This window comes from Homo sapiens, chromosome 15 (genome assembly GCF_000001405.40).
Source record: "Homo sapiens chromosome 15, GRCh38.p14 Primary Assembly".
NCBI lineage: Eukaryota > Metazoa > Chordata > Mammalia > Primates > Hominidae > Homo > Homo sapiens.
The window spans coordinates 77,856,832-77,877,667 of record NC_000015.10 but is presented as its reverse complement, the minus strand read 5'-3'; the positions used below and the strand labels follow the sequence as shown (position 1 = coordinate 77,877,667).

The 20,836-nt window shown below is 56.9% G+C and overlaps 5 annotated features.

Annotated features, from left to right (window-relative positions):
* Positions 5,599–6,437: an enhancer, noted in NCBI's record as "H3K4me1 hESC enhancer chr15:78163573-78164411 (GRCh37/hg19 assembly coordinates)". NCBI's record gives its function as "activates a minimal SCP1, AML or CMV promoter by ChIP-STARR-seq in primed H9 embryonic stem cells {active_cell/tissue: H9 hESC(primed)}" and the evidence as "EXISTENCE:reporter gene assay evidence [ECO:0000049][PMID:30033119]".
* Positions 8,302–8,802: an enhancer, noted in NCBI's record as "H3K4me1 hESC enhancer chr15:78161208-78161708 (GRCh37/hg19 assembly coordinates)". NCBI's record gives its function as "activates a minimal SCP1, AML or CMV promoter by ChIP-STARR-seq in naive H9 embryonic stem cells {active_cell/tissue: H9 hESC(naive)}" and the evidence as "EXISTENCE:reporter gene assay evidence [ECO:0000049][PMID:30033119]".
* Positions 12,198–12,703: an enhancer, noted in NCBI's record as "H3K4me1 hESC enhancer chr15:78157307-78157812 (GRCh37/hg19 assembly coordinates)". NCBI's record gives its function as "activates a minimal SCP1, AML or CMV promoter by ChIP-STARR-seq in naive H9 embryonic stem cells {active_cell/tissue: H9 hESC(naive)}" and the evidence as "EXISTENCE:reporter gene assay evidence [ECO:0000049][PMID:30033119]".
* Positions 12,704–13,209: an enhancer, noted in NCBI's record as "H3K4me1 hESC enhancer chr15:78156801-78157306 (GRCh37/hg19 assembly coordinates)". NCBI's record gives its function as "activates a minimal SCP1, AML or CMV promoter by ChIP-STARR-seq in naive H9 embryonic stem cells {active_cell/tissue: H9 hESC(naive)}" and the evidence as "EXISTENCE:reporter gene assay evidence [ECO:0000049][PMID:30033119]".
* Positions 18,404–18,453: an enhancer, noted in NCBI's record as "active region_9899". NCBI's record gives its function as "activates an Ori minimal core promoter by ATAC-STARR-seq in GM12878 lymphoblastoid cells {active_cell/tissue: GM12878}" and the evidence as "EXISTENCE:reporter gene assay evidence [ECO:0000049][PMID:35858748]".

The following is a 20,836-nucleotide window of genomic DNA, read 5'->3' as shown; positions in this document are numbered from 1 at the left end:
AAAACATTCACCTGGTCTCTTGACAACTTTGGGAAGCGTATGTGTTGGCCAACTGTGTCCCTGCTTCCAGATGAGGAAACTGAGGCTCTCAGTGAAAAAGGGATGCTGCGGCTCCAGCGCACACAGGCCTGGCCTTTGCTCAGCCGTAACCTAGGGCTGGAACTCTGGACCAATGCTGAGCAGCATCATGCCAGGCAGACTGGCAGAAAGTCGAGGCCCCTGTGTGCCTTTGGAACTGACCCCTGACCACCTCCCACTGTCTTGGAACAAAGGCTGCTGGACCAGCCGTGCCTGCTCCTCAACTGTCCCCTCTCCAGCTCCTCAGCAAGCTCCCCCGAGGCCCTGAAGCCTCAGTGCTGAACAGAGCTGACCTGGGCCTCTCTGGCATCCTCAGGTCTGGCTCGGGCCTTCTTCCTTCTGCCCTCCAACCTTTCCCATGACTTTGCTTGGCCAGGCATCCTTGGTGGCCATCCCTGACTGCCCCTACCTCCCTGACCACATCTCACCTTCCTCCAACAAGCCCTCCTAGCCCTCCTTCGTGCACGTCGACTTCTCTTTCAAAAGATTCCCTGGAATCCTGATCTCCGTAGCTCTCCTAGTTTCACCTGGGGCCTGCTTAGCTGGGTCAGGAGGTGTGCGTCCATGCCTCCCCAGCCAAGCATGGGACAGAGCACAGGGTGGGAGGGAGGAGGAAAGAAGGAGGCTTAGAACACACTTATAAGAAGGAAGAAGGATGTTCCCACCCAGGGGCAAAAGAAGATTCAAACTTCTCTGAAGCTACAGTGACCTGTGTTATGTGCTGCCTCCATTTCTCCAATTGTTCTTGGAGAACAAGACAACAGAGGGCCCAGTAATACTCACCTCCCTGCCAGCAGAGTTCACCCAACCATGCTGGCCAAGCACTGCTGGTCACTCCTACCTCTAGTGCTTCTTGGACTAAGAGTCCCCGCTCTGGGCAGTGGCTGTGGTTTGGCCCCACCCTTGGCCAGGGTGTTTTGCACCCTCGTTGCCTGGGCCCCACCCAAGAAGCCTGTGGCCAAAGCCAGCTTGCTGGGAAATGGTGTGTGCCTGTGCCCTAGATGGGGTGGTGCCTAAGCAGGGGTGTGCTCCTGCTGCCCAGGGCCCGCCCTCAGGGAATTGGCCCTCTGCCATGAAGGTCACAGAACCTAGGCCACTACTGTGCAAGAGGGCACGGGCTTTAGGCGCTGGCTCAGTGGCCCTGCAGTTTTCTGGCCAAGAGCTCCATGGCAGCGGGCCCTGGGCCTGGGCCTTTGACCTGGGGCCTCTGTTAGGAGTGGTCCTGATCCTGCTTCTGGCAGAGGCACACACAGGGCTCCTCCAAGTACAGGCAGCCAGGCTCAGGAGGGGAGGGAGCAGCCAGTCCCAACAATTACACAGTTCGGGAGCTGAAAAGTTATGTTTGCCACCCTCAGGAGCCAGCTGTGGAAGGGAGGCTGGTGGAGGGCTTTGCCCTGGCCTCTGAGCCACACACAAGCCGTGCTGGGAGGACAAGGGCCGGGGTGGTGAAGGACCCTCTTGGAGCCTTTGCTTTCCAGGAGCAGGCACTCGTCTTCCATATCACACTCACAAAGGCTGGTGGCTTCAGTGGCTGTGACCAGCTGGCCACAGCTGACTCCTCTGGGGTAGTGCTGTTTCTAAATATTAGTTCCTGCTGTTAACCCTTGCTGTGCTGCCCCAGTGGACAGCCGGCTGCCTGCAGACAGAGCCTCTTGGAAGTAGAGTGGACAGTCCCCACCTGGATGAAAAATTTGTGAATATATTTGCTTGAGGGCTGGGTTGGGGCTCCCAGAAGGAGGGTGAGAAATACCTGCTTAGGGCTGGGAATGAGGCTTGCAGTAGATGTCAGGGGATGTGGGTCTGAGCTGGCCACTGGGCAGGGCAGGGGAAAGAAGGTGGGGTCAGGAGCCAGGAGCCCGGTCCTGCCAAGCCTTTTTTTATGTGGCCACAGACAAGTCACTTCGCCTTTCTGTACCCCTTTCCTCATCCGTAAAATGTACAGCCACCGAGGTGCTTGGATGATGGCCTTCAACAGAAGCGCCGGAGCTTTATAAACTCTGAAGTGCCTGGTGGTTATGATGATTTTTATGCCAGGGTCCTGCTGTCTGTGACTCCCCCGAGTCCCTTGGAGGAGAGGCAAGACTGACAACCAAGAGACAGCTGGAGCAAGCTGGTGGGGCTGCTGTTAGCTCGGGCAGGATGGGCAGAGCAAGAGGCAGCTCTCAGTTGGGCAGACTGCAGGGAAGGGTCAGCTTGTCACATGCTGTTGTGGAGAGTCACTCGCTATGTCCCCAGCCTCAACAGCTTAGCCTGGCAGTGCCTGTCAGAGGAGCAGCCATGAATTAGCCAGGAGGGGGCAGTGTTACCTCAATCTTCAAGCCCAGGCCTGTGCCCACCCACCCCAGCCGGCACCCGCTCTTGCTTTGCTGCTGCTGGGTGGACAGGCGCCAGCTCCTGTTGGTCTTGAGGAGGCGAGGGTCTCTGGGGCTGGCATTTGTCCTTCCTCCGTTCTTGGCATCCAGAGCCCCAATTCACCTCTACTCCTGGACACAGGAAGGTGTGAGGGGAGTTCTACCTTGACCTGGCAGCCCGAGGCCAGCCTGAGGCATGGAGGGGATGCGGCTGAGGTCAGCGGAGGGGCTGGGAGGGAGGGTGGGAGCCATGGAGGGAGTGGGAGGGAGGAGGGGGGTGAGAAGAGCCCCCAGACCCAATGGCTTAGGCAGAGGCACGCTGTTCCGCAGAGTAGAGGGAGATGGGAAGAGAGCACTGCTTCAGAACCGGTGTCTAATGGCTCATCCTTGTAAACCTGAACAATTTCCAGGTTTTAATTTAAAGTGAAAATTGAGGCTGGGTGTGGTGGCTCAAGCCTGTAATCCATGCACTTTGGAAGGCCGAGGTGGGCAGATGACTTGAAGCCAGGAGTTCAAGACCAGTCTGGACAACATGGCGAGACCCTGTCTCTACTAAAAATACAAAAATAAGCCGAGCATGGTGGCAGGCACCTGTCATCTCAGCTACTTGGGAGGCTGAGGTGGGAGGATTGCTTGAGCCCAGGAGATGGAGGCTGCAGTGAGCTGTGATCGTACCACTACACTCCACACTCCAGCCTGGGAGACAGAGCAAGACCTTGTTTCAAAAAAAAAAAAAAGAAAAGAAAACTGAATTGAAGACCTAACTTTGGTCAGAAAGGAACAGAGGATATAATATTCTTTGGAATATTTTTAAAAGCACACATACTACTAAATATTTAGGAAACAGCCTGTGGTAAACCCCTCTAGGGATGTTCTTGATTCTGGGCCCTGAGGTCTCCTCTCCATCCCACCTGCCCCCAGGCCCTGGGCTTTGTGTCTGCCCATCATCTCAACAAGGCTGGCCTGGGCTGGCTCTCGGGAGGCTGTGGGAGCTCGGGGACCCGTCTGTCTTGTGGCAGATTAGACAGATGTCATTTTGCAGACAGTGCCATTTATCACGGCAGCTGCAAAAATTAGTGATGCTTGGTCTGTAAGTGTTGGGTGGGGGTGGGAGCTGGCAGGTGACAGCAGCCAATGCTCCCCAGTGTTACCAGGTCAGGGAACTGCAGGCCAACCTCTGAATAGGGGTTTTCTGATTTAACACTTAGCCCAGGCGAAGACCTTCTGTTGGAAAGATGAGGAAGCTGGCGCTCGGAGCCTGGAAAAAAATTTGGTCATATGACAATTATTATTATTATTTTGAGATAGGATCTTGCTCTGTTGCCCAGGCCAGAGTGCAGTGGCACAATCTTGGCTCACTGCAGTAGCTGGGACTACAGGCACACGCCACCATACCTGATTAATTTTTAAATTTTTTTGTAGAGACGTGGTCTTGCTATGTTGCCCAGGCTGGTCTCAAACTCATGGCCTCAAGTGATCCTCCCACCTGCGCCTCCCAAAGTGGGATTACAGGCCTCAGCCACCATGCCCAGCCCACGTGACAGATTAGTGGCCCATCTCTAAATAAAGGTCTAGGTCCTGTGTGTGACCAGGACCAGGGCTCAGTGGGTGACCAGGACCAGGGCTCGTCTGGGGTGAAGTGCTTTACTTCTATTAGGACTAAGTATTATTTTTGCCTTTATGGCTCAGTCTAGGACAGACCTTCAGCCTGGCCCCAGCTGTCACCAGACAGGGGCAGGATTGGGAGCTGGCCCTGGAGCTAGGACTCACTCTTGGGGTGGGTTTATGGTCCCAAGGGAAGGGGAGAAGGAGGATGGAGGGTTCAGAAGGAATATTGGGGGGGTGGTGAAGATGTTCAGATGAGAGATGGCCCCGCAATCAAAGGGATGCCGACTCCAGGGAAGATGAATGGGGCCTCCCTTGTGCCTCGGCTTGCAAAATGACAGGGTCGTTTAGCTTGGGATTGACCTTTGGTTGAAGCAGTCCCATCGCTTGACGTTGCCTTTCCTGTGGTAGTGCCCCCAGAGACGTGACCTGCAGAAGGTCAGGCACGGCCTTCCAGGTCTGGCCAACTGCTGCGTGGCCCCTTCTGAACAACTCAGGGGGTTCTCGCTTGACCTTGCAGGAAGCCCTGGTTTGATCCTTGTAGGACTTGAATCCGTATCTTTAGGTCACTAGACCCCAGAGCCTGGCACTTGATCACACACAAAGCCCCCATCCATCCATCCATTCATTCAACAAACATTTGCTAAGCTCCTGCCCTGTGCCAGGCTCTGGCTGGGTCCGGGGATACGAAGACTTGGTCTTCACCTGGAGCCCTGGCCTCCAGGAGGTCTGAGGCTGTGTCAGTGAGAGGGTGGGAATTCACCCTCTCCCGCCACGAGGAGACGTTGGAGGGTGGATGAGGCTCGCTGCCTGGCAGGAGGCCCACCTGAGGTTCCTCCCTTCTCTCTAGGGGGCAAGACAGGCCTGGCTCCATGTTGGGTTACCTCAGCCAGGGCTTGGTGCTGACATCACAGTCCCACGAGCCTCCTGGACACTGGCTGGGGTGGGGGCTGGTCTCTGTTGTTCCACTGTTGCTGGAGGGAACCCCAAGGCCAACTGCCACTCTGGTTCCCAGGACCTGGGGGGATGGTGGCCCTGGGCCAGGAGCAGAAGAGGGGCCCTGCCTGCAGGGACACATGGACACACCATCTGGAGGCACACAGGTAGGGGCTGTGCACACACACATGTCCCTTACCGCACACACGTGGAGCAAGACACACACACAAATGCACAGACCCACACCTTACTCCACACACACACACCTGGTACCACCACTGCCTTCAAACGCATGCTTCATGCTAGTCACGGGAAAAAGCAGACGCGACCCACACTTATACCACACATGCGCACAGGCCCCACGCCATGCACAGCCACACCTCTTACTCCCCCCACCCCACCCCGTCCCTCTCTCCCAGGAATCTCATCTCCTGCACAGATATGCACCCACCCAGGCTCACTGGCGCCCCCCACTGCCCTGGAGAAGTAAGTCCACAAACCATGAGATGCCGCCACATCCAGAGAGAGGTGGGATGGCTGATGGGAGGGAGGTCAGAAGAGTCCCTGCATTCCCCCAGGAGAGGGGACCGCTGGCTGCTCTCAGCCCTCCAGCCTGGGGCCTGGCCTCTGGGCGCTGTGCACGTGGTCATGAGAGGGCACTCCCATGAAGACAAGCCAGGTCCCCACTCCTGCTCCCAGCACTCAGAGATGCCCACCCTCGGGGCTGCTCAGGCACAGGAGGACTAAACAGGAGCTCCTGCCACCAGCTCCTTACAGGGTGGGGTCAGGAGCTGGTGGGAGGACACATCCCCCTGAGTCCTGGGGTCAGGGGCCGCGTGGCCTTGCTCACTGGCAGGGAGTTGCCCACCCCTGCCGTTTCTCCCGCTCCCTCTTCCTCTCAGTGCCCACGTCCTCCCATCTGGCCTTTCTCTCCCCCAGATCCTCCCCCATGACTGGCTTTCCTTTCTCTCTCTCTCTCTCTCTCTCTCTCTCTCTCTCTCTCTCTCTCTGGCTCCCTGTGTCCCTGTGACCTGCTTATCCTCTAGAATAAAGATCGACATTTTCAATTACCCCAAAAATAACAGAGCCGTTCTTGGGGCCTGGCGGAGGATGGCTGCACGGGCGTGGGCACGGGCGCTGGTTTGCATGTGGGGCCTGCAGGTGGCGGGGGTGGGGACACCCACGGTCCCACTGTCCTTTGTTTGCTTTTTCTCATCCGGAGCCTTCATTTTTTCCTGGAAGATTGGAAGCACGTTTCCCTTCAGGGGAGGAAGGGAGACAAAAGAGAGAAAGAAAAACTGTCATCGTTGTCTTGTAAACAGCGTAGAGCCAAGTGGGGGCTCGGCAGGAGAGAGGGACACAAGGGAGAGGCCAGAACAGAGAAAGGGGGACGAGAGGGATGGGGTGGGGAGGTGAGCAGGAGCCCCCCTCAAGGCCGGGTGGGTCGGTGTCCTGCAGGAAGGACTGATGGGAGGGGAACAAGGCGACGCTGATCCAGGGCTGTTGGGGGTTTTGAGGAGACACAGCATCTGCTGAGTGCCAGGCAGGCCCCGGGAGGCAGGCGCTATTCTCTGAATCCCACCCTGTGCCAGGCTCTGGGGGTGCTGAGGTGAGTGACAGACATGACTTTGCACTCTTGGGGCATAAACTCTATTGGAAACAAAGTGGTGGCTTCATGTGTTCAGCACTTATATCAATTGAGGCTCAGAGAGGGTGGGTGACCTGCCCGATGACACACAGCCGGAGGTGAGGGGACCAGGATCCCAGCCAGGTCCGTGTGACCGCAGTCTCCTTTCACACCGCCTCTGCTGTGGGCACACTTGGCTCTTGCGTGACCTTGAGCAAGTCCTCACCTCTTGGCCATCAGTTTCCCCATCTGAAATGCAGCCACCATGCTGGTTCTCTGCAGGGCTGTGGGGAGCATCAGATGTCTGGATGTGAAGGACCCTCAGCTCTGGCTCTCCGCCGAGCTGGCTGGCGGGTGGAGGAGCAAAGATCACCAGGTGCGCAGGGAAGGACTGGCCGGCAGGGAAAGGAGGCCGGACCGCAGATTTACTCCCTGCTTCCGCCCAGTGGCAATAATTGGGTACTGCAGAGGGTGAGTCTGGACAGCCTTCTTCAGCTTGCACAAGGGCCAGAGCAGAAAGGCGCCTTTGCGTGTTGTCTGGTCCTCCCTGGCCCCATTTCGCGGATGCCCAGAGAAAGGAGGGACTCCTCCTCAGGTCATCCAGGGCAGAAGCTTGGGCTGGGCTTTCAGTGCAGTGTAGGGTGCTTCCCTCTGTCCCTGTGGCACTCAAGAAGCCTCCAGTCAGCTTCAGAGCAAGAGAAACAGAGTTCTACATCCTCTGCTTGACGCCACCACCTCCAGGGAGACTTCCAGGGTCTCCTCCAGTAGGAAGTGGCCTCACTCCTGCCCTGCAGTCCCACACTCGAACTCTCCTTGCTCCTCCTCCTCCACCCAACCATGACTGTCCTCCTGCCCGCAGCAAATCAGGCAGCAGGGCCCCTTGAGACACGAGAGATGGTGGAGAACCATTGTCACCACTCAGGGAGCATGTGCCAGGGGCCCACTCTGTCCTGCGGCTCTACCTGCATCCTCTCACTTGAACCTCGTAAGAACCTTGGTAAGTTGGGGTTATTTTGAGCCCCATTTTTCAGGTGAGGAAATGGGCACAGAGAGGTTATGACCTTTACACACAGAGTGGTGGGGCAGGGACTCAAACCCAGGACTGTCTGTTCTCTGGAGAGATGCCCGTGTTTGGAGGTGAAAACTACCCCCGTGGCCATATGACAGTCCACTGTGACCGGACACTGAAATGACCAGTCCAGGGGGCTTGTGGGCTGGGGTCTCAGCTTCACCACTGTGCTGCTGGGTGACTTCGGGCAAGGCCCATTCCTCTCTGGACCCTGGTTCCTCATCTGTGTACTGTGTATGTGCATGCATGCACGTGTGTGTATATATGCGTGCGTGTGTGTGTGTGTGTGTGTGTGTGTGTGTGTTCTGGGTTACCTCAGAGATCCATTCTGGCTCTGAGTGTGGTATGTCCCATCTTGGGCAGATCCAAGGGAGGGCATGAGCAATCTGGCTTTGGGACAGGTATGGGGCTGGCCCTAGGGCCTGGATGTTTCTCCCTCCACTGCCTGCCACAGAGGGGAGTTTGTCTTGCAGGAAACAGCCTCATCCATCACGGCAATGGGGGGCTGACAGCAGCCACTCCCCGCCAGCCCCGGCTGGAGGCAGACTCGTAAATCCCATGCCAGGCCAGGCTGTAAATTCCTGTGATTCACATCCGGCCTCTTGGAGGACAGAGACATTTGGGGCTGTGGGGCTGGCTGTTCTCCCCTGGACAGGTGGGTACTGGGGAGAAGCCTCTTCACGGGCCCAGCAGTCTCAGATGGCCCCTCTGAGGAGATGTGATGCTGAGTCCCCAGGATGCCTCAGGCCCAGCCTGAGCCACCTCTGCCCAGACCACCTCTGCCTGGGCCATTCGTGTGCCCTGGCCCGCATCACCCTGGAGGTCACACGTGTGGACACGCTCTGTGGCCTCAGAGATCTCATGGGGCCTGTGGCCTGGAGGGTTGGCTCCACCAACCCCACAGCGAGGTCTCCTGCCAATCCGCATGGCATTCTGTCTTGGGGCTGTGAGGACATGGTGGGAGATCAGAGCCCAGTCTGTGTATCTCTTATTCCAGGGAGGCCGGGGCCCCGAATCCACTGTCCCTTAGGCAGGAAGGGGACAGGGCCACTCAGGCCAGGGCTGCAGCCATTTGTCATGTTTCATCAGGACTTTTGCTACACTCAGATGCCACTGGAACTCTTCTTTACTTAGCGTTTTTTAAAAATCAGCTTACTTTTAAAATTTAAGTGTGTGTTTTAGCCTCGTCTTTAGCCATATTTGTGAAATCAGGGTCTGATGTACTAGTCAAATACCCGCACACATGTACACATACACATGTGCACATACACGCTCAGACACATACATATACACATATATGTGAAAATATACACATGAAATATATCCATGAAAGTAAACACAAAGTTAAAATAGCAAATGCTCAGCTCCATGTACCATCTAATCCTGCTTTAGGTTTAGAGTGGCTCTATTCTCCCCGCATTATGGGTGATTCCTTATTGGTGAAACAAAGCAGGTTCAGATGGCTCACAGAGCTGAGCATTTACCAGCCATTCTAGCCTTCCCCCATTTTACAGACAAGGAAACCAAGGTCCAGAGAGGTGCAGGGCCTGCCCGAGGTCACACAGCGCTGGGATTAGTGGCCAGCCTGCCTGACTCCCAGCTGAGTGCTCCTTTTACAGAAGCACACTCCCTGTCTGTGGTGTGCAGGGCCCCTTCCTCCAGAAGCATATGTGGACTTGCAGAGGCCTTTTGGAGACTGTGCCCTAACACAGAGGGTTCATCACAAGGTGGGCTTCCTGGTGGCAGGCTGACGGGCAGGCGAACAGTCTCCTGGGTCCTGGTGGGACCAGGCACTGGCCCCTGGCTCTGTCTGTGCTTTATCCTGGTGCTCATGGCTCTTGCAGCGCCTCGGGATTCGGGGAAGTGGGGAAAGGAGAGTCCCAGGGGAGGGAGAGAGCAGGGCTCTGGCAGCAACCCTTCCCCAGGGAGCTGCTTACTGAAGAGATCATTAGTGGCAACGACTCTCAGGCTGGCAAGGAAGATGGCCTCATTAGCAAGCACCTTCCCCTGCGCCACCTCCACCTTCCCACCTGCAGGCTCCTGATACCCACACTGCCACTGCCACCACTGCCATCACTCCAGAGATGCGGCACGATGGGCCTCCTGTTGGGGACAAGGCTGCTAGCTCAAGGGAGCCAGGAAGGAGATGTGTGCAGGGTGGCAAGGGTGCGTGTATGTTGCACACACAGACACACAGACGCCGGCACACAGATATGCTCATATGCATGTACACACATACTGCATTAATAGAGGTGTGCACATAGGTCTAGCGCACACACACACAACACAGAGACTTGCACGGTAACGCGCAACTCCCCAGACACACGGTGCAAGCACACGGATCCAACAGAGACGTGTACACACAGGGGTGGGTTTCAGTGTGAAGCCCCACAGTGCACACGTATAGAGACCCATATGGAACATAGGTGCACGTGCACCCCAGGAGATGCACGCGTGTATTCACACAAACATACAGTCCTGTCTCCAGACTCCGGAGTGTGCATGGAATTGTACACACATGAGTACGTGTTGACAAACCTGCAGACCAGCCCGGGGCGTACCACTGTGTGTGCAGGGAGGCCCACGTGCACACGTACATGCATGCAGAGCACACACCAGTTATTTTTTTCTTGGAATCTAACAAGGCCCAAGGAGCAGGGAGTGGCTAATTCCCTGGAGGAAGTGAGGAGACTGGAGTTGAGGACACATTTAATTAATTCTTCTCATTCCCAGCAGAGGGAGAAAAAGAGGGAAGGAGGAAGAGAAGAATGAAATGAGAGAGAGAGGAGAGGAAAGGAGAGGGGAGAGGGGCAGCAGGAGGGTGAAGGTGAAGGAGCTGGTGTGGGCAGTGAGGAGGCTGAGGGACCCTGGGCCCAGGGGCATTAACCTTTTCAGCTTAGGGCAGGCCCAGGGACCTCATCACTCAGCCCCAATCCCAGAACCAGACGGGACGTTCAAGGTCAAGTGGTGGGGCTGGCACAGAAGTCCACCCGCAGTGCCCCCTCCACACAGCTCTGGGGACAGGGCATGCACAGCTTTCACCTGCTCCCACCGAGTGGAAACCTGCCCCCCAACCCCAAACCTCCCACGCTCAGTCCCACTTCTGCTCTGTGCCTGCATTGGCTTAGGGCCTTGGGGACTCTCCTATCACAGGTCCGGGGTGGGGGCGACACAGCTGCCCAGGGAGGCCCCTGCTGGGCACCAGGACAGCTCCTCCCACCCCTGCCCTGACCTCAGCAATGAGACAGAGTCAGGGAGATGGAGGTGGACAAGGACAGGGGCTCTGAGGGGGAGGGAGGATGTGAGTCAGGAGAGAGGGGAGGTGGGGCGGGGTGGGAGTGAAATAGGGAGATGGGGGGCAGTGAGAGAGATGGGGAGACACTAAGCAAGAGATGGAGAAAGATGTGAGAGGGGCCGGGATGGTGAGAGTCAGACCCAGAGACACACAGAGAAGACGCTAGAGAGAACCAGAGAAACAAAAAAGGTCTGAGGGTCCGGAAAGGCAGCCGGGCTCTGCAACTCTCCCTGGTCAGGAGGGAGTCACCTTAGGGCCTGGGGCATGACCCTGGCCTAGAGAGGATGCTGTGTGACCCCGCCCAGGCACCCCACCTCTCTGAGCCTCGGTTGCTGGTCTATAAAGCAGGGGGACCGGCCCTGTCTCCGAGAGGGCCCTGAGGCTCCACAAGGAGGCTGGCCCGGTCCCTTTCTTCCCTCTACTCCCCCCTGAGTCATGCAGGCCTGCAGAAGGGGGTGGGGGGCTCCCTTCCAGGGCCCTGAGTGGGCAAACCAGGTGAAAGGAAAGTTGTTGTGGGGCTGGTGTCATGTGCTGCAGCCATGAGCATGGAGCGATGGAGCGTTTGCCCTGAATATTGAAAATGCATAAATATCCATTTTTAGGCACCAAGGCAGATATAAATACAGAGGGGAGGGTGTGCAGCCCTCAGCCGTAATTTACTGGCTCTGCTACCTGCGGGGGCTTGGGCACTTGTGCTTGACCATCAAGAGGCTTTTCCAGATGGCTTTATGACCGCCAGTGGCCACCTGGATCCCTTCTCCTGGAGAAGTGGCTCCTTGGGATCTGCCGGCTGGGGTGAGGTGGGGCAAGGCAGGGGGTATCATTCCTAGGCCTGCTCCGTCCTAGGCCTTTGGGGCCTCTCCTGCCTTCTCCTCCTCCAGCATCTCCTTGCTTGGGAGGGATGGAACCACATCTGTGTCAGGCCTGGTGTGTGCCCAGCCCTGGTGCACTTGGATAAAATCAGAGGCGTTCCAATCCTGCCCATGGGTGCTTCTGAGCTGCGAAGCAGAGATGACACCCTAGGTCCTGCCCTTAGAAACTCACTCAAGGGAAACAGATGGTAGAAGGGTCTGGATAAGCCAGCATGGGGCAAGACCCGGGTCCACTCTGGAGCAGGCCAGAAGCCAGAGAGGAGAGGCACATGGCCAATGGTGGCCTCCAAGAGTCTGGCCGCAGCCCAGCACACCCAAAGCCCTCAGCCTGGAAGGGAAGCAGCAGGACCCGGGGTGGAGGTCACGGCCCACTGGCAGGCAGCTCTCTCTCTGACATCCTCCAGAGAGGACATGGGTCTTGCCCCATGCTGGCTTATCCAGACCCTTCCACCATCTAAGGAATGTGCTCATTCTCAACGGGTACACAAATGGAGGCCCCAAGGCAACTCCCTGCCTCTCCTCCTAGAGCTGGAGCTCAGACTTGAGCACCCTGGTTCCTGCCACCTTCACATGCTGAGGGGCATCTTTCTCTTTGGGTTGGGACCCTGTGTTCAGGGCACCCACCTTCCCACAGCAGAAAGCCACCAGCCTCTACTGGGGGGTGTGGAGCGTTCTCCCTTCCAGGGTCCCCGAGTCTCCTCTTCCCAGGAAATGGAGGCTGGGCTTCCCTGCCCTGAACAGGAGCCTGCACTGGGAGGCAGGGCCTGGACAGCCACCTGCTGCCTGGGCCGAGCGGTGGAATCTGTTTGTGTGGGATGCAGGCAGTGAATCATGAACACTCCAGGCTGAGTGGCCCCGGGGCCCTGCACAGAGCAGGGGTGGGGGTGGAGTCAGGTAGCATTGATGGGGGCAGGTGGGGCTCCATGGAGGGAGGGCTGAGGCTGAGGTGGGGGTAGCAGAACCGTGCCTCCTATTCCTTGCCTGCCTCTCTCATGTTTCCCTCCCCCACTGTCAACAGGGGTTCTCTGAGGCAGAGTCCTCACAGTGAGTGATGCCTGCCCGGGCCCTGCCCTCCAGGCCTGTCCTGCCAGAAACACCCACAGGTCAGGGCATCCAGGTGCCTGGATGGACAGCCACAGGCCAACTGCCTGGTCAGCCGCAGCCTTGGCTGGCCGCTCTCCTGTGGCTGCAGAAAGTGAGAGGTAGTGCAGCCCCTAGCCCCCGCTACCCCACCGCCAGGCTCTCCTGTCTGTCCTAGTCCTCGAGTTGGGTGCGAGGGCACAGGCCACAGTGGATTCTCTGGGTCTCCCCCAGGTGACTTTGCTGTTGGTTCTGGGCCCCACACTGGCCCTTCTGTGCTGTCTGGGCAGCAGGATAGACGTCTGCGGGGCACATTCTCCACACCCCCTTGCGTGCTGCTTCTCGTTCAGTTCTTCCACGAGGAGGTGCTGGCAGGCTCCAGTACCTGCATGACACGTGCCTCTCAGCGGTTCCAGCATCAGCTCAGTGGCATTTCCAGGAGCACAGCAGCGAGTGCAGGCTGTGGGCTCCAGCTCAGGGCACCTCTGGATTTGCCTCCTCCTCTCAGCCCTTCCCCCATCACCTCGGCAGCCTGGCCGTCCTGGAACTCCCGGGATGCTCCTCAAAATGGCTCTAAAGCCCTTGTTCCTCAGTTCTTCCTGGAGGGGGCCACATCTTGGCTCCGGGTGGCAGGAAAAGCTCTTTTCCACTCTGCGGGAATGATCCCACTTTGCCAGTTAAATGGAATGGTCTTCACCGAATCTGTTCTCTGGGTCATGTGTGTGCAGCCAGGCGTCTGGCTGCAGTGGTAACAGGGGCTTCTCCCCACTGGCTGCGCCCCAGGGTCTCCTCTGCTCTCTCCTCCCTTCTCATGGGCTTCTTCATCTTCCTTGGGGTTCTGCTCCCCCATAACTCGGGGTCCCCCCATGTGGCCCTGACCTGCATTCAGCTGCTCTAGAGGCGTGATCTGGGTTCTGCCTCTGCATGAATGAACTACATCGCTTGGGAGGTCCTGGTTCAAGTTACTAAGGTGACAGTCTGGCCTGAGTCGTTTATGATCAGGCCAGAGGTTCTGCATGTCCCAGGCTTGGCCTCTGGGGTCAGACACTCATTGCTTTCTGCAGGGCAGCCAGGAGCCATGGGGGCCTGGAGGTGAGGCAGTCTTCCTTAGATCAGGGTGGGAAGCGGGCAGGGACCTCAACCACAGGGCAAACTAGTGACTGAGATGGCATCAGCAGCCTCGCCCAGAGGCGACCCTCACCCCAGCTCCAACCACCCGCCCAGGCTGCAGCAATGCCTGCTGTATGCCCAGCACCAGGCTGGGCTTATGGGGCAACTAGATGAACAGGACTCAGACCCTGTTCTCGAGGAGATGAGGGTCTCATGTGGGAGTCAGAGAGTCCTCAGATGCCCGAATACCAGGCTGTAAGGAGCACGAGGTGCTCAGGGAAGGGAGAACTCAGCTCTGGCTGAGGAGTTGGGGATGCTTCACGGAGCGGGGATATTTGACGTGTAACACAAGGTGGGATTTTAATGTGTGGTTGGTTCCAAGGTTGCTGGAAACACCCTGGGGAGAATAGATAGAACCACGGGAACAAAGGCCCAGCTTGGCAGCAGGGCGGGAGGAGCTGACGACTAACCACCAGCCTAACTTGGTTAGTGAGAACACCTAGAGCAGTGGGGATTAACCAAAGAGTGAACAGGGTGTGGCTGTTGCTTGGCAGGCAGCGGGAGGCCCCAGAGGGGTCCCCGTGGGAGGAAGAAGGCCCACAGGGAGGCAGGGTGGCATGGGGTGTCGGGAGGGCCTGTTTGGCTGAGCCATTTGTCTGGGTAGGGCCACCCATCTGGGCCTCCTGTTGGGCCCCCAGGGCCTGTGTTCAGAACTGGACAGACACACAGCTCTCTCCAACCCAACGCCCCCGGCTGCAGCCTGATGGCAGGGCTAAAATTAGCCTGGTGGCTGTGGGGGCAACGGGAGAGACAATCATGGGAATCGCCCCCGCCTCTCCTCTCAGAGGGAGGGAGAAGGACGGCTGGAGGCAGAAAGGAGCCAGGCCTGGGCCCGGGCGGCACTGGGGCACTACAGCAGCAGGAACCTGGGTCCCCCTCCGGCCTGACTCGGGGCACAGGAGCTTGCAGCAGGAGCAGGAGGGCCCTGCCTCTCTCCTGGCCACCCCCTGGTCCACTGCTGGATCCTGAGGGAGGGATGGTCGGGTTTTGAGCACCCAGTGCCCTGACCCACTTCTCCTCCTCCTGCTTGCCCAGGTCTTCTGGGGCTCCTCTCCCGTGGTCGCCATGGGAACTCCAGGTGGCTGAAGTTTGCTTGAGCCTAGCTCCCTGAGATGGGCCGTGGGTCAGGGGACGTGGAGGGAACCGGTCCCCAGCCTGGGCTCTGAGCACCCCTCCCCTGGGTCCCAGAGTCTCCATCTGAGCTCTGCCCATTTAGCCCTCACCTGGTCTCGTCCTCGCCTCCTCCCTCCCCCACACTCCACACAGGCTTCCAGTCACCAAGTTCTGACTGTTCCTTCCACTTGTAAAATCTCCCTGGGAGGCATCCACTCTGCACCCACCTCCCTGCCTCAGGCCTGGTTCCACCCCTTCCCTGTCCCCTGGATGACAGCAGGGGCCTCCTAGGGGGTCTGGCTCCTTCAGTCTGCTCCTCCTGGGTGCTGCCACTGTCCTCAGGACAAGCCCTGCTCCTGACCAGCGCCTGACAGTCTGGCAGCTCCTCTGCCCCTCCCTACCCCAGCCTGGGCTCCCACCACCCTGGGATGGCTGGGTCTGTGAAATGGGTGGGTGGTGTGTTGAGCTCCGCTTCTAGAACTGCATTCTATGGGGCAGTAGCGTCTTTCTGGAATTAACAGGTATATCTTGAAAATGGGTTCCATGTGGAATTGGTTTGGGAAGCGCTGCACAGCCTCTGCCTCCTGGATACTCACAAGGCACTGTAACAGGTGAAACGCTCCCAGAGGTCCTGGAGTAAAGAAGTCTGTTTTGATTTATTTAACCCCGAGATTCCCAGAGTGTTTTGGCTCTAAATAAGGAAGGTCTATGAATAACACCAAGAACAAGTTTCTCTGGACCACCCTTTGGAAAATGCTGGAGGGGCCGTAAAGTGTGGTGCCTTGTCTTTGGGGATCTGGGGTCCTGAGGCTTGCTTCCCCCATCTGGCATGCAGGGGCTCCCATAAGCGCACCTGCTGATATGGGGCCGAGGAAGCCCTGGAAAATTGGGCCACACCATGGATGCCTTGCTTCCATCTCCTGGCCCGCAGTGTGGTTCCTGGATGTGTTTTGTTTAAACCATGCATTCTTTTGAAATTTGACCTGGTTGTCAACATTTAAAACCTGGGAGATCCCGGCCGGGCGTAGTGGCTCATGCCTGTAATCCCAGCACTTTGGGAGGCCAAGGCGGGCAGATTATGAGGTCAGGAGATCGAGACCATCCTTGTCAACATGGTGAAACCCCGTCTCTACTAAAAATACAAAAAATTAGCCGGGTGTGGTGGCGGGCGCCTGTAGTCCCAGCTACTCGGGAGGCTGAAGCAGGAGAGTGGTGTGAACCCAGGAGGCGGGAGCTTGCAGTAAGCCGAGATGGCACCACTGCACTCCAGCCTGGGCGACAGAGCAAGACTCCGCCTCAAAAAAAAAACAAAAAAAAGCAAAAAAACAAAAACCTGAGAGATTCCACCACAAATTCTGCATTTTAAAGTTCTCTTAAAATGCAAGGAGCCCTGTCAACACAGTGCGCATCTCTCCCTCTGTGGAGCCAAAGAATGGCACGAGCCATTTACAAGCAAAACACCCAACCTGCAAGCAGACAGTGTCCCTCCTGGCGCCCACTGAGCCCCCCAAAACATTGGAGTTTCTGATCTCTTTCAAGGGGAGTATGGGGCTCTCTTCAACAAATTCCTCCTTATGATGGTGACTTATGCCTGGCCCACCCTCCTCTGGGGGTCCTTCTTTGAGGGGCTGAGGCAGGTGGGGCTCGCCGGCTCCAGCATGTTCCTTACCTCCCATGAAGCACCATGTACATGATACAGTCTAGGCTATGAGGTCCACTGGGCTACCCCATCATTACCCTTGGTTCCCATGACGAGGGGGCCAGAGTGGCCCAGGGGCAGCAGGGCTGTGGGAGGCAGAGGGAGGGTCTGCTGCAGCCTCCTCTCCTGTGACCACCTGGGGGCTCAGCTGATGAGGAGATTCACAGCTGCTCAGGTCACCCTGCTCACTGGAGCATGCTGGGTGGGAGAACCACTCCCTGCAAGAGTGAAAAGCTGAGAACACTGCCGACCACGCTGGCACCCCTGAGCCAACCCGCTGCTGCAGAGAGCCCTCTACGAATAGCCCGCTCTGTGCTGGCGGAGGCTGGAACCTGGGGAAATCTGGTTCAGGGCTGCTTGCTGGGGCCCAGGGTGGGGTGGGGCTATGGAGGGCCACAGTCCTGCCCTGGGATGACCGTGGTGAAACAGAACCCTGACTTGCAGGCCCCAGTCTGAGGTGGGGGGAGGGGGCCCAGACCAACCTCCCCAGACTGTTAGGATAACAGGAATTTCCTGCCAGGCTGAGGCTGGCACCAGTTTCGGTTCTGTCCTGGGTGGAGGAGTAGGTCCAGTAGTGGACTCTCCACTCAATGGGGCCTTCACAGGCTCTGGTCCAAAGTCCCCCACACACCCCCATCAGGAGGTCTGACTCTGGCCACCTCCTGCCTCGCCTGAACCTGTCCTGCTCGTGGCCCTCCTCTTCTAAGCCTGTCTGAACACCCCTACCTTGGGGACCCCTCCTGTGTCTTCCTCCTCCAGGAAGCCCCTCTGATCCTCCTTCTCAGAGTTCTAGCCCTCCTCCAAGCTCCATCCCTGCCCTAGACAATCCCTCCTCCCCTGCCATCCAGGGACACGAGGCTTCCCTTCCCCTGGTGCAGCTGGACCTTCTGTGGTGTCTTGAGCAAGCCCCTGGTCCTGTCTGGGCCTCTGCAGACTCAGGGTCTGGCACCTGACTTATACCATGTTGTCATATCCTGTCATCTGGCCCCACATGGAGTCCTACAGGGGACTCTCAGACCCAGGTGTGAGCACTGGCTCAGGCCCCTCTCAGAGGTCTGGGGGCCCAGCATCTGCCCATGGGCCTCCTCTCCCCCTCCTCTTCTCCAGGCTCCTGCCTCTGCCACAGTTCCCTGGAGGTGGCCTTTAGCCTGGCTCAGGGGCTCACACACTCCTGAGGGAGGCAGGGCCAGACTCAGGCAAGGCCTTGGAGGACACATCCCAGTGGGCAGGGCCCAACACTTTCGGGGGTGGGACTACAGGGAGGAGAGGCAGGGTAATTGAGGTTCCAGGTGCCAGGCCCCGCCCAAGGTCACCAGCCCGCTCCTGTTCCTCAGTCTCAGATGGAGCGGAGGGTGGAGGTGGGGAAGAGAGACTAGGGACACAGTAGGGATGGTTATGGAGGACGGGGATCCCTGTCTGATATGGTTAGGCTTTGTGTCTCCACCCAAATCCCATCTTGAGTTATCATCCCCATTTTCCCCACCTGTCAAGGAGAGACCAGGTGGAGGTAATTCGTGGATCATGGGAATGGTTTCCTCCATGCTGTTCTCGTGATAGTGAGTGAGTTCTCACGAGATCTGATGATTTCATAAGGGGCTCTTCCCACTTTGCTCAGCACTTCTCTTTTCTGTCACCTTGTGAAGAGGGTTCTTTGCTTCCTCTTGACCTTCTGCTGTAATTGTAAGCTTTCTGATGCCTTCCTGGCCACGCTGAACTGTGAGTCAATTAAGCCTCTTTCCTTCACAAACTATCCAGTCTCGTGCAGTTCTTTATAGCAGTATGAAAACAGGCTAATACACTGTCCCTGCTGAGGGCTGCCTGGCTGGGCTCTCCCTGCATTGGGACCTAGGTTGTCAGTAGCAGCGGTAGTGCTGGCGGGTGGGAGCTCTCCCCTGCTCCACACCTGCTCCTGAGATGTCCCTGGCACCAAACCACCTTCCCAGCTGTGGGCATGGATGAGGGGAGGGACCAAGATTTCCTATTGCTCTTTTTTTGTGTGTGTTTTGTTGTGTTTTTATTTTTGTATTTTTTTGAGGTGAAGTCTTGCTCTGTTGCCCAGGCTCTTTGGACCTTGGGTGATATCTTGGCTTACTGCAACCTCTGCCTCCCAGGTTCAAGCAATTCTCTTGCCTCAGCCTCCCCAGTAGCTGGGATTACAGGTCCCCACCACCACGCCCAGCTAATTTTTGTATTCATAGTAGGGATGGGGTTTCACCATGTTGGCCAGGCCGGTCTCAAACTCCTGACCTCAAGTAATCCGCCCACCTTAGCCTCCCAAAGTGCTGGGATTACAGGCGTGAGCCACTGCACCTGGCCTTGAGATTTCCTATTACTCTTGAAGTGAGAGGCCCAAGAAGGGTTGGGAGCACAGATGTTTGTGAGTCCACAGGGGCCAGCACTCTCTGTTGGTGGAACCCAGGGTGAACGCTTCTGTGCCCCGGGGTCTCATTTGTCTACCTGACAAGTTCAGTATTAGACCAGATGGGGCCAGAGTTGTGGCTGAAACTCTAGACTCAAATCTCACTAACTGAGCAAGCTTCAGCAAGCCACTGAACCTCCTGGTACCTCAGTCCCTACATCTATAAAATGGACATGACAATACAATGTTCCTCCTTGAGCCATTGAGAGGATTAAATGAGTTGATCTGTATCTGTATCCATGTCTGTTTATGTGTCTGTATGTCTATGTCTGTATCTATATCATATGGTATATACCATGTTAGTGTATTTAAATGTTAAGTATTATCATTATTGCCAGGTCACAGGCCCTTTTGAGAATTCAATAGAACATACTTTTCAGAAAAAATCTGCATCCACATAACCAACTCGGTGCACTATCTTGAGGGGTCGTGAACTGCCTGCAGCTTGCCTGTGCGGTGTGGATAGTGAATGTCCAAGGCCGTGGCAGTCTGACTCTAATGTGCTTTCTTTTTTTTTTCGTTGAAATCTTGGGGTCAAATTAATATACTCAAATAGCTCTAAAGGTCCAATGACAAATAGTCACTTATTCCCTGCCTCCCTCCTGCCCCCCGACCCCATACTCCTCTCTCTGGCACTGGACCATCCAATCTGGCTTCAGCCTTAGCTGTGACCTGTGGTGCCCAGAGTCCGGGGGACAGGACTGCTTCTGTTTCCTCCCCGTGGCCATGAAGCTGGGCTTGGGACTCGCTGCTGAGCTCCGTGGTCCTACCTTCTGAGTGGCTCTCAGATCTGCTCCATGGCTCCGTCCCTCTGTCCCTCCCCAGTCCAGATGTCCTCCCTTTCCTGCCTTGGTGGTCTCCCTACTTCCACCCTTGTCCCTCCCTGTCAGCCAGAGTGAGCTTCCACCTTGCACATCCCACCACGTCCCCCCTGCCTACAACTCCTCAGCGGCTCCCCATGGACTGCAATGATCATGAAAGAGAGAAAGTTGTGTAAGATTCATGATTCCCAGCATGCAGGAAAAGCAGAATTCTTACCAATAAACTTGATATAATCAAAGGGGGTCTGGGATTGGTCCAGGGGCCTGTAAGGTCACTGCCTGGGAGCCAGGCCTGCAAGGGCCCCTGGGGTGGGGGCAGGGACGAGGAGGCAGCTGGGATAAAATCATTTCATGCAAATACATTGAAATGAGGCTTTGTGGCAGGTTTGACAAGCTGCCAGGAACAAAGTCTCTGTGATCATCCTGTCTCCCACCTCTAACCAGCTGGCTAGAGTGAGAGTTTCCTGGGGGCCTGGAGGAGGGGCTGTGGGGAATGGAATCTCAGGTCCTGGACCTTAGGGAATTAGGAGAAAAAACACACCTCTGAGCCCCACCCTTGCCCTCCCCTATACCCTCAGTGGGTGCCCATTGCCTACAAGATGAGATTGCATGCTCCCCTTGGGCACACCCAGTACTGAGTTTCCAGCTCATAGTTGAGCAATAGTCCTTTTCTTTTCCTTTTTAAATGAACCTCAGGTACA